The sequence below is a fragment of the Homo sapiens genome, chromosome 12, assembly GCF_000001405.40.
Source record: "Homo sapiens chromosome 12, GRCh38.p14 Primary Assembly".
NCBI classification, from domain to species: domain Eukaryota; kingdom Metazoa; phylum Chordata; class Mammalia; order Primates; family Hominidae; genus Homo; species Homo sapiens.
Genome location: NC_000012.12, coordinates 37,560,118 through 37,574,101, shown reverse-complemented (window position 1 = coordinate 37,574,101; position 13,984 = coordinate 37,560,118). Strand labels below are relative to the sequence as shown.

General features: G+C 44.8%; 1 annotated feature.

The window, feature by feature from the left end:
- Positions 7,522–8,023: an enhancer, noted in NCBI's record as "H3K4me1 hESC enhancer chr12:37959881-37960382 (GRCh37/hg19 assembly coordinates)". NCBI's record gives its function as "activates a minimal SCP1, AML or CMV promoter by ChIP-STARR-seq in naive H9 embryonic stem cells {active_cell/tissue: H9 hESC(naive)}" and the evidence as "EXISTENCE:reporter gene assay evidence [ECO:0000049][PMID:30033119]".

The following is a 13,984-nucleotide window of genomic DNA, read 5'->3' as shown; positions in this document are numbered from 1 at the left end:
CCAGCCTAGGCACCAGAGCAAGATCCTGTCTCAAAAAAATAAATAAATATATAAAAGGCCAGGCGCGGTGGCTCACGCCTGTAATACCAGAACTTTGGGAGGCCGAGTAGGGCAGATCATGAGGCCAAGGGATCAAAACCATCCTGGCCAACATGGTGAAACTTTGACTCTACTAAAAATACAAAAATTAGCTGAGCATGGTGGCACGTGCCACTACTCGGGAGGCTGAGGCAGGAGAATTGCTTGAACCCAGATGGTGGAGGTTGCAGTGAGCCAATGTCGTGCCACTGCACTCCAGCCTGGTAACAGATTGAGACTGCATCTCAAAAAAAAAAAAAAAAAAAAAGAGTGGGTATCATGGTAGGAATAAACTGCACACAGGTCAAACAAAAGTTACAAGGGCATCTGCCAGTATAAACAAGTTTCCTGTGAGACACCTGGTTATGGGTCTGATACTTGAGCATTAGGCTGTGGTCCAGGAAAAAGAAATTTCTGGTGAAAAGCTACTCTAAAGACCCATAGACCCCTCCCCTAGAGCCCCATTAGAGTGAGGTAGAGTTTATAGCCATTCTGAGAGACCTCAAGACCCAATTAGAAGAAAACTATAACATTTGTTATATAGAAGGCATTTTTCCAAAGAGTAGTTCAAAGATAAAAGATATAGTCTTCCTTTGGATATAAAACAAAATCTCAAGATACACCAAAACTGTTTTGCTTTTACTGAATAATTTTTGTGCATATGTGTTTAGCTGCAAGTGGCTAACAAGCTGTGATTTTCTTTCCTTTCCTTTCCCTTTTTTTTTTCTTGAGACAGTCTTGCTCTGTCACCCAGGCTGAAGTGCAGTGGCCTGATCTTGGCTCACTGCAACCTCAGCCTCCCATAGCTGGGATTACAGGTGCCTGCCACCACACCCAGCTAATTTTTGTATTTTTGGTAGAGACGGGGTTTCACTGTGTTGCTGAGGCTGGTCTCAAACTCGTGGCCTCAAGTGATCCACCCACGTTGGCTCCCAAAGTACCAGGATTACAGGCGTGAGCCACCATGCCTGGCCAACTCTGATTTTCTAATTTGCCTCATGTATTAGGTTCATACTGGGAAAAAAAAAACAGGTCAGAGCCATTAGAGCCACGTGTACAGATGTGCAGTAGCTCTGCTGGCAACACTGCTGCTTGCTTCAGCTCTTAAGACAGATGAGTTCAGCACGTGTCTGCCCTTGCTCTAGCTGTCTCTGATTCCCCCCAACAGATGCATAATCATGTAACTCCTTTAGGTTCACTTTGGATATCCCATCATTAGATTAAAACCAGCAGGCCAAAAAGATAACTTGAGGAAATGCTTTCACATCCAGTGTTCTCATAGGGCCAGTATCATTTAGACATGTCAGGACCATGGTTGCAGGAGACAGAATGAAGTGTCATCCTTAACTGGCCATCCAATGTCATCAGCATGAACAGGAGGACTTTATAGGATGTTATCTGATGTTTTCTGAATATTACCTTACAAATGCTGCTTTATTTTTAACTTAAGAATAGGGACCCTGTCTTTTAAAGCTTTATACATCCTCAAGTAAAGGTTTTTCTTATTAAATCCATTAAAAAAATCTAAAGGCTGACCTGGAAATTCCATTTCTAAGTATTTATCCAAAGTAAACATTTTTTTTTTCTTTTTTTGAGATGGAGTTTCGCTCTTGTTGCCCAGGCTGGAGTGCAGTGATGTGATCTCAGCTCACTGCAACCTCTGCCTTCTGTGTTCAAGCGATTCTTCTGCCTCACCCTCCTGAGTAGCTGGGATTACAGGCACGCACCACAACACCCAGCTAATTTTGTATTTTTAGGAGAGATGGAGTTTCTCCATGTTAGTCAGGCTGGTCTCAAACTCCTGACCTCAGGTGATCCACCCACCTTGGCCTCCCAAAGTGCTGGGATTACAGGTGTGAGCCACCACGTCCTGCCAAGAATTATTATTATTTTTTTTTTTGAGACAAGTCTCAATCTGTTACCCAGGCTACAGTGCAGTGAGGTGATCACAGCTCACTGCAACCTCTGCCTCCTGGGTTCACGTGATTTTTGTGACTCAGCCATCAAAGTAGCTTGGAATACAGGCACACACCACCATACCTGGCTATTTTTTTTTTTTTAATTATTTTTGGTAGAGAGCAGGTTTCACCATGTTGGCCAGGCTGGTCTCAAACTCCTGGCCTCAAGCAAGGCCACTTTGGGAGGCCAAGGTGGGCAGATCACCTGAGGTCAGGAGTTCAAGACCAGCCTGGCCAACATGGTGAAACCTTGTCTCTAATTAAAATACAAAAGGTAGCCAGGCGTGGTGGCAGCTACTCAGGAGGCAGAGGCAGGAGAATCGCTTCAGCCTGGGAGGCGGAGGTTGCAGTGAGCCCAGACTGTGCCACTGCACTCCAGCCTGGGCAACAGAGTGAGACTGTCTATCAAAATATAAATAAATATAAAAATAGAAAAAAGCCGGGCACAGTGGTTCATGCCTGTAATCCCAGCACTTTGAGAGGCCGAGGCAGGTGGATGACTTGACATCAGGAGTTCCAGACCAACCTGGCCAACATGGCAAAACCCTGTCTCTACTAAAAATACAAAAATAAGTCAGGTGTGGTGGCTCACCCTCTAATCCCAGCTACTTGGGAGGCTGAGGCAGGAGAATCACTTGAACCTGGGAGGCAGAAGTTGCAGTGAGCAGAGTTCGTGCCATTGCACTCCAGCCTGGGCAACAAGAGCGAAACTCCACCTCAAAAAAAAAGAAAAGAAAAGAAAAAAGAATACAAAAAATTAGCGGGGTGTAGTGGCACATGTCTGTAATCTAGGCTACTCAGGAGGTTGGGGCAGGAGAATCCCCTGAACCTGGAAGGTGAAGATTACAGTGAGCTGAGACTGCACCACTGCACTCCAGCCTGGGTCACAAGAGCCAAGAGCAAGAATCCATCTAAAAAAAAAAAAAAGAATTTCTATTTGGGGTACAAAATAAAAGAAATGGAGTGAGATGGATGTAAGGAAATTGAAAGTCAACTGGCTAATAATGCCAATAAATAATGATGGAGCAAAGAAATCAGTATTGGCCAAATAAAACCAACACATTTTTAAATATTTTTTCAAAATGTAGACAAAGTTTTCCAGTACACTGAGACACTTCTACTATCAAGATTATTATATTGGCTGAGCACAGTGTCTTATGCCTATGATCCCAGCACTTTGGGATGCCAAGGTAGGAGGATCGCTTGAGCCCAGAAGTTCAAGTCAAGCCTGGGAAATATAGGGAGACACCATCTCTGCAAAAATAACAAAAAATAAAATAAAATAAATAAAATAACATAAAATAACATAAAATAACATCAAAATAAAATAAAATAAAATAAAATAAAATAAAATAATAAGCCAGGCATGGTGGTATATATCAGTGAGCTGTGACCACCCCACTGCACTCTAGGCTAGGTAACAGAGCAAGACCCTGTCTCAACAAAAAAACTAGAATATAGAATAAATGACATTCGGGTAAGTGGAATATTAGGTGTTCAATAAACATAGGTTATTCCCTCCCTATCTCCATAAAATCATCAATTATTTTAAAAGAGAAGTTTTGATTAGAATCTAAAAATATCAATACTCTTTCCAAAAAAGGAGGGAGGATTTAAATATAACAATTTGTTGGTTATTTCTATTTATTTTCATTGTTACTTAATATTAGTAATGAAAATGCAATTGCCCTCTTTCAAACATAGTTTTAATTAGTTGCACAAAATGCCACCTTATAGTCTGATGTACTTCAAATTTCCATATCTATGAAAGCTAAATTTGAATATTATCATCTCAAGGATATTATAATTTCTGTCTTTTAATCTATCTAGGGTTCTACCTTTTCTGTAAGCCTTAGTGAATCTCACTATAGTCCTCCTTCCCTTTAAAAATGCAGTGACAGGCCGGGTGCAGTGGCTCTTCCCTGTAATCCCAGGACTTTGGGAGGCTCAGGTGGGAAGATTGCTGGAGCTCAGGAGTTCAAGATCAGACTGGGCAACATGGCAAAACCCCATCTGTGCAAAAATTACAAATATTAGCCTGGCATGGTGCCATATGCCTATAATCCAGCTACTTGGGAGGCTGAGGAGGGAGGATCCCTTCAGTCTCGGAGGTCAAGGCTGCAGTATGCCCTGATCCTGCCACTGCACTTTTGGAGGCTGAGGCAGGTGGATCACCTGAGATCAGGAGTTCGTGACCAGCCTGGCCAATATGGTGAAACCCTGTCTCTACTAAAAATACAAAAATTGGTCGGGTGTGGTGGTGGGTACCTATAATCCCAACTATTCAGGAGGCTGAGACAGGAGAATCACTTGAACCCGGGAGGCGGAGGCTGCAGTGAGCCGAGATTGCACCACTGCAGTTCAGCCTGGGCAAGGCCGAGTGAGACTCTGTCAAAACAAAACAAAACAAAACAAAACAAAACAAAGAAAGAAAGAAAGAAAAAGAAAAAGAAAATCAGTGATAGGTGAGGCAGCTCATGCCTGTAATCATAGCACTTTGGAGGCAGAGGGGGAGGATCACTTGAACTCAGGAGTTCAAGACCAGCCCAGACAACATAGTGAGTCTTCTTCTCTACTGAAAATTATTTTTAATTATGCCACAGTGCTAGTGTGTGCCTCTGGTTTCAGCTTATTTGGCAGGCTGAGGTAGAAGGATCGCTTGAGCACAGGAGATCAAGGCTGCAATGAGCTGAGATCGTGCCACTGTACTCCAGCCTGGGAGACAGAGTGAGACTCTACCTCAAAAATAAAAATAAATACATAAATAAAAATTCAGCGATGGAGTTGATGGATTTGAGGTTGAGGACCACCAATGTGAACCCGTTTGGAAAAAGCTCAACCTGTGTTCTTCCTCTGCTTCACACCAAAACCACAACAATCCAACCAGAAGACTTCTGTGGCCTCAAAATATGAGGAGATTTCTCCCTATCAGCAAGCAAGGAATCAGTTCTGCAGCAGACACCAGCTGGGTGTCCACCAATTCGATTCTGACACTATCTACCATAAGATAGTGTCACCCCACAGATCGAGTGCTCAGCCCCCAAAACTGCCCCCCTTTCAGACACCAATCACAAGTCCCAGCCTCTGGAACTTCTGACTGATGGGTTTAATTTGGGGTTCCTACGACCCCCTCTTTGGGTTTGATTAATTTGCTAGAATAAAATGGCTCACAAACCTCAGGGAAACACATTTACTGTTTGATTATAAGGATATTCCAAAGGATATAGATGAAGAGAGGCCTAGCACGAGGTATGGGGGAAGGGGCACAGAGCTTCCATCCCCTCCCTGGGCACGACTCTCCAGGAACCTCCATGTGTTCAGCTCTCTGGAAGCTCTCCAAATCCACTCCTTTTGGGTTTCTAAGGAGGCTTCATTACATAGGCATGATTGATTAAACCATTGGCCACTTGCCATCAATTTAATCCTCAGTCCCCTCCACTCCCCAGGGGTGGGAGGGTAGGGGCTGAAAGTCCCAACCCTCTAATCCTGCCTTGGTCTTTCTGATGACCAGCCCACATCCTGAGGCTATCGGTCAATCACTAACATATAAAAAACCAAAGCCTGGGTGCGGTGGCTCATGCCTATAATCCCAACACTTTGGGAGCCTGAGGCAGACAGATCACTTGAGGTCAGGAGTTCGAGACAAGACTGGCCAATATGGTGAAACCCCGTCTCTACTAAAAAAGAAAACAAAGACAAAAATTAGCCAGGCATGGTGGCACATGCCTGTAGTCTACTCGGGAGGCTGAGGCAGAAGAATTGCTTGAACCCGGGAGGCAGAGGTTGCAGTGAGTGGAGATTGTGCCACTGCACTCCAGCCTGGGTTACAGAGCAAGACTCCGTTTCAAAAAAAAAAAAAAAAAAAAAAAAAAGCAAGCTCTTAGGACATTCCAAGGATTTTAGGAGTTGTATGCCAGGAAATAGGTACAAAGACCAAATCTGTATTTGACAAAATCACAGAACCGTATGAGTATTTAATTCAATACAGACATGGAAACTGGCGCAAGCAGCAAGCATTTACTCACAGATGACTGGGCAAATCCCTGGTCCTATGGGTACAAACTATTGATCAAACCCCCAATCTCATTCCTACCCCTAAAATATCGCAAAGTGAAAGATCTTATTACCTATTTGGACTGAGATTAACACCATCCCTTAAACTGCATGGCTTTCAATCCCAGGGCTATGGCATGTGATGCCACATAGAACATGCACGAAACTTCTCTCCAGCAATTGAGTTGTTAGGATAAAGGCTCTTGTCTTCGCCTTCTTTCTCTCACAGCCAAGAATATTAAGGAACGTGGACACAAAGGATGAGGTTGGAACAGAAGTTTAATAAGCAAAAGAATAAAGCTCTCCCCAGCGGAGAGGGGACCCGAAAGAGGGTTGCAAACTAGGAGGCTGAATCTGGGGGTTTTGTGAACTGGGAAGGGGAAGAATGTGCTCACTGGTCTGTGAGCTGTCTTGGCGAAAGCACTACTTCGCTTGGCCTGGGACCTTAGCCTGGGACCAATCAGAGGCTGAAGTGAAATTTTGGCCCAAGACCAATCAGGGGCTGAAGTGAAAGTTTGGCCCAGGACCAATCAGGGGCTGAAGTGATGATTCATAGAGCCTCGGCTCACAGTCCAAAGCATGTCCAGAAAAGGAAAGTGGCCGCCGGAGCCTGTTGGTCCAAGCTGCACCGATTTGTAAGCCCCCACCATTTCACAGAGCCTGGTCAGAGGGAAATATTCCACTGGGGTTTGGGCTGCGAGAAACATCCTCCCCAACTGCCTGACTTCCTTATGACATCCTGCTGGGGAAAGGCCCAAGAAACATCCTTATCAACATTCTCCCAGGCAACAAGCCATACTGCCCAGACCCCTCCTGACCAGGCCTATAATTACTCCAGCCTGTAAGCGGCAGTGGGCTCTGGCATTTAGTTGGTCCCCTCCATAGAGCCGCCAACTCTCTCTCTTTCTTTAACCTTCACCTTCCCTTCAAAATCTAACAGAGCCCACAAAAAAGCGACTATTTCCTGGAAGCCCGCTGGTCACACAAAGGACAAAGGCATTTCTATGTTGGGCCTCGGTCCCTTATCAATGCAGCTGAGGAATTGTCTTTAGGACAACCCGCTTTGCTAGTTTTCCTTCTCTGTGCCTGCAGCCTGATTTTTCAGGCTGTTTCTCTGTTTAAAGGAGTTTTACCAAGGACCTGCCCTAACTCCCTAAAGGGTTTTTTTCTCTCAAGGGGACACACAAAGTTCCAATCGCACACAGGCCTCCCTATATCCGCTTACCCTCTGCCTCACAGCCAATCACACTCTCCTCTGTCACAGAGACCACGGGGCCACACAAGTTGCACCTGCGGGGCCACACAAGTTGCACCTGCACAGCCACAGACCTGCAACTCACGCACACACAGTACTGCACACACACGCAAAGTCACACACCCACCCTGGGACACGCAGTCCGAACCACACAGTCACTGGTTGTCCACATCCGTACACACAACGCGGCTCGTCCAGGACACACACATCCAGTCGGAGCGCGCACAGTCACAAGCGCCCATCTGATCACACAGAGTCAGCACCACACAGCCACAGTCACAGACCACGAAGACCCACGGCAACCATCGCAATCACACACGCAAACTCCTCTCCTCAGCCCTCCACACACAAAAGGACCGAAGCTGGATTCCTCATCCTCAGCTTTCTCTAGTTCCGTTCGGGGCCAGCCTGGCCAAGTTACTACGGACTCCAAGGCGCGGCAGCAGCTAATTGCGCACAGCGAAAGATTCTGCCACCTGGCTAAGAGGAAGCCGAAATCTCGCAAGACGTGGTATTGGCCTGCAGAATCCTCCGGGAAATGTAGTCCAGAGCCCGACTGCTCCCCTACTAAAAATACAAAAATTAGCCGGGCCTGGTGGGCGCCTGTAATCTCAGCTTCTTGGAAGGCTGGGGCAGCAGAATCGCTTGAACCTGGGAGGTGGAGGTTGCAGTGAGCCGGGATCGCGCCGTTGCACTCCAGCCTGGGTGACAGAGCGAGACTCCGTCTCAAAAAAAAAAAAAAAGGTAAGCAGACATGTCTGCTGCCCACATGAGGTTTACATTCTAGTCTGGAGAAAAAAAAAGATTTTAAATTAAAAGTGGAAAATGAAGTAATTTTATATTGTGATAAATACTATGAAATAAGTCAATAGGTGGTATAAGCAGTAACTTGAGGGATACTTCCTGTAGCATTGATAGGACGCGTGTCTGAGAGATAACCCTCGAGCTTTGGTGGTGAGGAGCCAGCAGTGTGGAAGGGTATTCCAAACAGAGGCACAGTTACACTGAAGATCCTGAAAAATCAGAGAGCGCTTGGAGCGTTCCGGAAATAGAAAGCAGCCTGGTGTGACTGAAGCTTAGCAAGTGAATGGGAAATTAGTTTAGATTTAGGATGCAGAGATCGGCATTTTCCGATTCATATGAGAAAATGATAGTGCTGAGATTACAGACGTGAGCCACTGCACCCAGCCCCAAACCAAGATTTTACAGCAGCAAGAATAGATGTTCTGGTAGGGTCAGCGTCTAAAGATTTTACAAACAATATCTCTTCTTCTAGTTTGCAGCCATTATTTAAATAACAAACATGTCCTATTGTCAGGCCTTACTTTCAGTAACTGATTTCATTGATCTGAATAGGAAACTTACTTGATTAATCAGCTACTCTTTGGTACTACCTGACATCTCATTAATGCATCTTTGAATTAAATTATTGCTCAATAGGAGTGATTGTGAAATAGTGGCAATGTGTTACATCATTATTGAAGTTACCGTCTCTAATGTGAGTCCTATGACAGTTTCAGCAAGTATAAAGCACTATGGGGTTTTATAATGATTTCTGTAATCTTTTCTTTTCTTTCTTTTTTTTTTTTTTTTTTGAGAGAGTCTCGCTCTGTTAGCCAGGCTGGAGTGCAGTGGCATGATCTCAGCTCACTGCAAACTCCGTCTCCAGGGCTCAAGTGATTCTCCTGCTTCAGCCTCCCGAGTAGCTGGGATTACAGGCGTGTGCCACCACACCCGGCTAACTTTGTATTTTTAATAGAGACGGGGTTTCACCATGTTGGCCAGACTGGTCTCAAACTCCCGACCTCAGGTGATGCGCCTACCTCAGCCTCCCAAATTGCTGGGATTACAGGCGTGAGTCACCACATCTGGCCTATTTCTGCAATTTTATAAGGCAATTATTTCATCATAATTTGTTTGCTTATTCTTTTTTTTTTTTTTTTTTTTGAGACCGAGTGTTGCTCTATAGTCCAGGCTGGAGCATGGTGCTACAATCTGGGCTCACTGCATCCTCTGCCTCTAAGGTTGAAGCGAGTCTCCTGCCTCAGCCTCCTGAGTACCTCGAATTACAGGTGCACACACCATGCCCGGCTAGTTTTTGTGTTTTTAGTAGAGACAAGGTTTCACCGTATTACCCAGGCTGGTCTCCAACTCCTGGGCTCACGTGATACACCCACCTCAGCCTCCCAAAGTGTTGGGATTACAGGTGTGAGCCACCTCACCCTGTGGCGTGTCCTTCTTAAATAAGAAGTAACAGTGTTACAGTTCAAAATTCTATTTTAAACGTTTTAAATATTCTGTTTCTTGACTTTATCAGGATGTTTCTTTTTTTGATGATCCACAATTCTTGATGATTTCATAGCCGTTTGTAAAAACAAACATAAAAGAAACAAACAAAAACTATTACTCATAAGGAACGAGCTGTTTTGAGTTAAATGGGGTTTTCAATAAAACCGTAAGCTAGGCTGGGCGCGGTGTCTCACAACTGTACTCCTAGCACTTTGGGAGGCTGAGGTGGGTGGATTGCCTGAACTCAGGATTTCGAGACCAGCCTGGGCAACAGGGTGAAACCCCCTCTTTACTAAAATACAAAAAATTAGCTGGGTGTGGCGGCATGTACCTGTAGTCCCTGCTACACAGGAGGCTGAGACAGGAGACTTGCTAGAACCCAGGAGGTGGAGGTTGCAGTGAGCCAAGATCATGCCACTGCATTCCAGCCTGGGCAACAGAGTGAGTCTCCATCTCTAAAAACAAAAACAAACAAACAAACAAACAAACAAACAAAAAACCAGTTGACCAGATATTCATTCATTCAGATGTAGTCAACACTTTTCATTTTCAATACTTAACACAATTAATACTAGGTTGAATTACTTTCATAATATAAACTATTTTACATAATTCCAAAAGTACTGAGGATCAATCATAAATACCATCCACAAGGCAGCCAATAGGCACACACAGACCACCTCGCATATAACTTTGGGATAGAGCATTCAATCAAGAAAAAGTCTTCCAGATATAGCCATCGATTTCCCATCATTTTGTAGCACTGATCTTGCAAAGATTTTTTTTTTTTTTTTTTTGAGGTGGAGGCTCACTCTGTCACCCAGGATGAAGGGCGGTGGCACGATCCACTCACAGACACCTCTGCCTCCTGGGTTCCATCGATTTTCCTGCTTCAGCCTCCCATGTAGCTGGGATTACAGGCAGGTGCCACCACTTCTGGGTAATTTTTTTGTATTTTTAGTTGACACAGGGTTTTACTATGTTGGCCAGGCTGCTCTTGAACTCCCGAATTTCAGTGATCCACCTTCCTTGGCCTCCCACAGTGCTGAGATTACAGGTGTGAGCCACTGTGCATGGCCTGATCTTGCATGGATTTTTTATCTTCCATAAAATGATTAATGTTGCCCAAAATATTTGAGAGAAATTAAATACCAGGGAGTAAAATTTTGTGCAATAGGCCAGGCACGGTGGCTCATACCTGTAATCCCAGCACTTTGGGAGGCTGAGGCAGGCAGATCACTTGAGATCAGTAGTTCTAGACCAGCCTGGCCAACATGGTGAAACTCCGTCTCTACAAAAAATACAAAAATTAGCTGAGTGTGGTGGTGTATGCCAGTAATCCCAGCTACTTGGGAGACTGAGGCAGGAGAATCGCTTGAACCCAGGAGGCGGAGGTTGCAGTGAGCAAAGTTTGCAACACCACACTCCAGTCTGGGCAGCAGAGTGAGCCTCTATCTCCAAAAAATAAAAAAAAAATAAAAAAAATAAAATAAAATTGTGGAAGGCCACAAACCATTGCAACAACTATAATTCATTTTACCTTCAATAACCAATGTTCACCCTCTTAGGGGCAATATCACTCCCATTAAGAATGCTTGGCCAGGCACAGAGGTCCATGCCTGTAATTCTAGCACTTTGGGAGGCCAAGGGGGGCAGATCCGCTGAGGTTAGGAGTTCCAGACCAGCCTGGCCAACATGGTGAAACCCTGTCTCAACTAAAACACAAAAATTAGCCTGGCATGGTGGCATGCACCTGTAGTCCCAACTACTCTGGAGGTTGAGACAGGAGAATCTCTTGAACCTGGGAGGTGGAGGTTACATTGAGCTGAGATTATGCCACTGCTCTCCAGCCTAGGTGACAGAGTGAGACCCTGTCTCAAAAAAAAAAAAAAATGCTTCCAGTAAGGCTAAATAAATATACAAATTAGGCATGTGGCATGTGTGTTAGTATACGTACAATATATTTCCTAGTTCTGCCCACTAAGAGGGCCTAGAAGCAATGACACACCCATAGCAATGAGCACACGTGTCACCCCGATCTTGGCGATTTTTTGTTTGGTTTTTAAAAATAGAGATGGGGGTATCACTGTGTTGCCCAAGCTTGTCTCAAAATCTTGGCCTCAAGGGATCCTCCTGCCTCAGCCTCCCAAACTGTTGAGATTACAGACCTGAGCCACCTCACCCACCCCAAGATTTTGGTGCTTTGTAAATAATACTTTTCAATAAAAGAAACAAAGAATCTTTAAATAAATAGTTTATTCCACGTCTGGGTCAGGGAAAATACCAGATGAATCAAAACACTTTATGGTGCCAGAAAGTTGGGAATAAGTCCCACACCCCAACCCCCGGATAAAGGCATGCTATAAATAGAACACAGGAGCCAACCTAAAGAAATGCCCAAGGCCGATGTTTTGTTTTGCTTTGTTTTGTTTTGTTTTGTTTTTTTGATGCAGTTTCACTCTTGTCACCCAGGCTGGAATGCAGTGGTGTGATCTTGGCTCACTTGAACCTCCTGGGTTCAAGTGATTCTCCTGCCTCAGCCTCCCGAGTAGGTGGAATTACAGGTGCCTGCCACCACGCCCAGCTGATTTTTTGTACTTTTAGTAGAGACGGGGTTTCAGCAGGTTGGCCAGGCTGGTCTCAAACTCCTGACCTCAGGTGATCTCCATGCCTCGGCCTCCCAAAGTGCTAAGATTACAGGCATCAGCCATTGCACCTGGCCTGTGTTTGTATTGTTTTCAGTATCACAACCACATACATGTTCAATTGCACATATACTGTGTTCTCTACAAATGTGCAGTTTGGACCTGACTCTTCTTGGTACTCTACAACAAGAGCATTGCATTGTCACACATGTAGACAATGAATTGACTCAGAATCACAAATACTTGTACTGGGGACCCACAGGGAGAAGTCAAGCCCTAGGAAGAGTACCAGGTCATCATCTGGGAAAGGAAATATTAGGAGTATTTGGGGTGTGAATAGTACTGTATTGAATTCCAATTCATTTCAAAATATATTTCACAGATTATCACAAACCAGGAAATAAATTGTGTGTATTTTTCTTTGTTTTGTTTTGTTTGTTTCTTTGTTTTTTTAGACAGAGTTTTACTCTTGTTGCCCAGGCTGTAGTGCAATGCCATGATCTTGGCTCACCTCAACCTCCACCTCCCCGAAATCTCTGCCTCCCAGGTTCAAGCAATTCTCTTGCCTCAGCCTCCCAAGCAGCTGGGATTACAGGCATGTGTCACCATGCCTGGCTAATTTTGTATTTTTAATAGAGATGGAGTTTCTCCATTTTTTTTTTTTTTTGAGACAGATTCTCACTCTATTGCCCAGGCTGGAGTGCGGTGGTGAGATCCCAGCTCACTGCAACCTCTGCCTCCTGGGTTCAAGCGATTCTCCTGCTTCAGCCTCCCAAGTAGCTAGGATCACAGGTGCCTGCCACGGTGCCTGGCTAATTTTTGTATTTTTTAGTAGAGTTGGGGATTCACCATCTTGGCCAGGCTGGTGTTGAATTCTTGACCTTGTGATCCACCTGCCTCAGCCTCCCAAAGTGCTGGGATTACAGGCGTGAGCGACCGAGCCTGACCAGTTTGGGTTTTTTGAGACAGTCTTACGCTGTCATCCAGGCTGGAGTGCAGTAGCATGATCTCAGCTCACTGCAACCTCTGCCTCCCGGATTCCAGTGATTCTCCTGCTTCAGCCTCCTGAGTAGCTGGGATTATAGGCACATGCCACCAATCACGGCTAATTTTTTTGTATTTTTGGTAGAGATGGGGTTTCACTGTGTTGGCCAGGATGGCCTCGATCTCCTGACCTCGTGATCTGCCCACCTTGGCCTCTCAAAATGATGGGATTACAGGCATGAGCAAGCATGCCCAGTGAACTGTGACCATTTCCAAAGCCATGATTTATGGGAATAGCAGTTCTTTCTCTTTGTGTAAATAAACAGTGGCCACCAAAATAAGAACAAAGAGAGGCTTATGCATACAGAACTTGCTACAGAGTAAGGGTTCCATTTGTTTAAGTTGTCTATAGATTCTGGATATTATTAGGCCTTTGTTGGTTACATCATTTGTGAGTATCTTCTCCCATTCTGTAGTTTGTTTACTCTGTTGAGAGTTTGTCTTGTGTTTATGCTTTTATTTTACTTTAATTTTTTTTTTTTTGAGGCAATCTCGCTCTGTCACCCAGGCTGGAGTGCAGTGGTGTGATCTTGGCTCACTGAAACCTCTGCCTCCTAGGTTCAAGCAATTTTCCTGCCTCAGCCTCCTGAATAGCTGGGATTAGAGGTGTGTGCCACCACCACCTAATTTTTGTATTTTTGTTAGAGACAGGGTTTCACCAT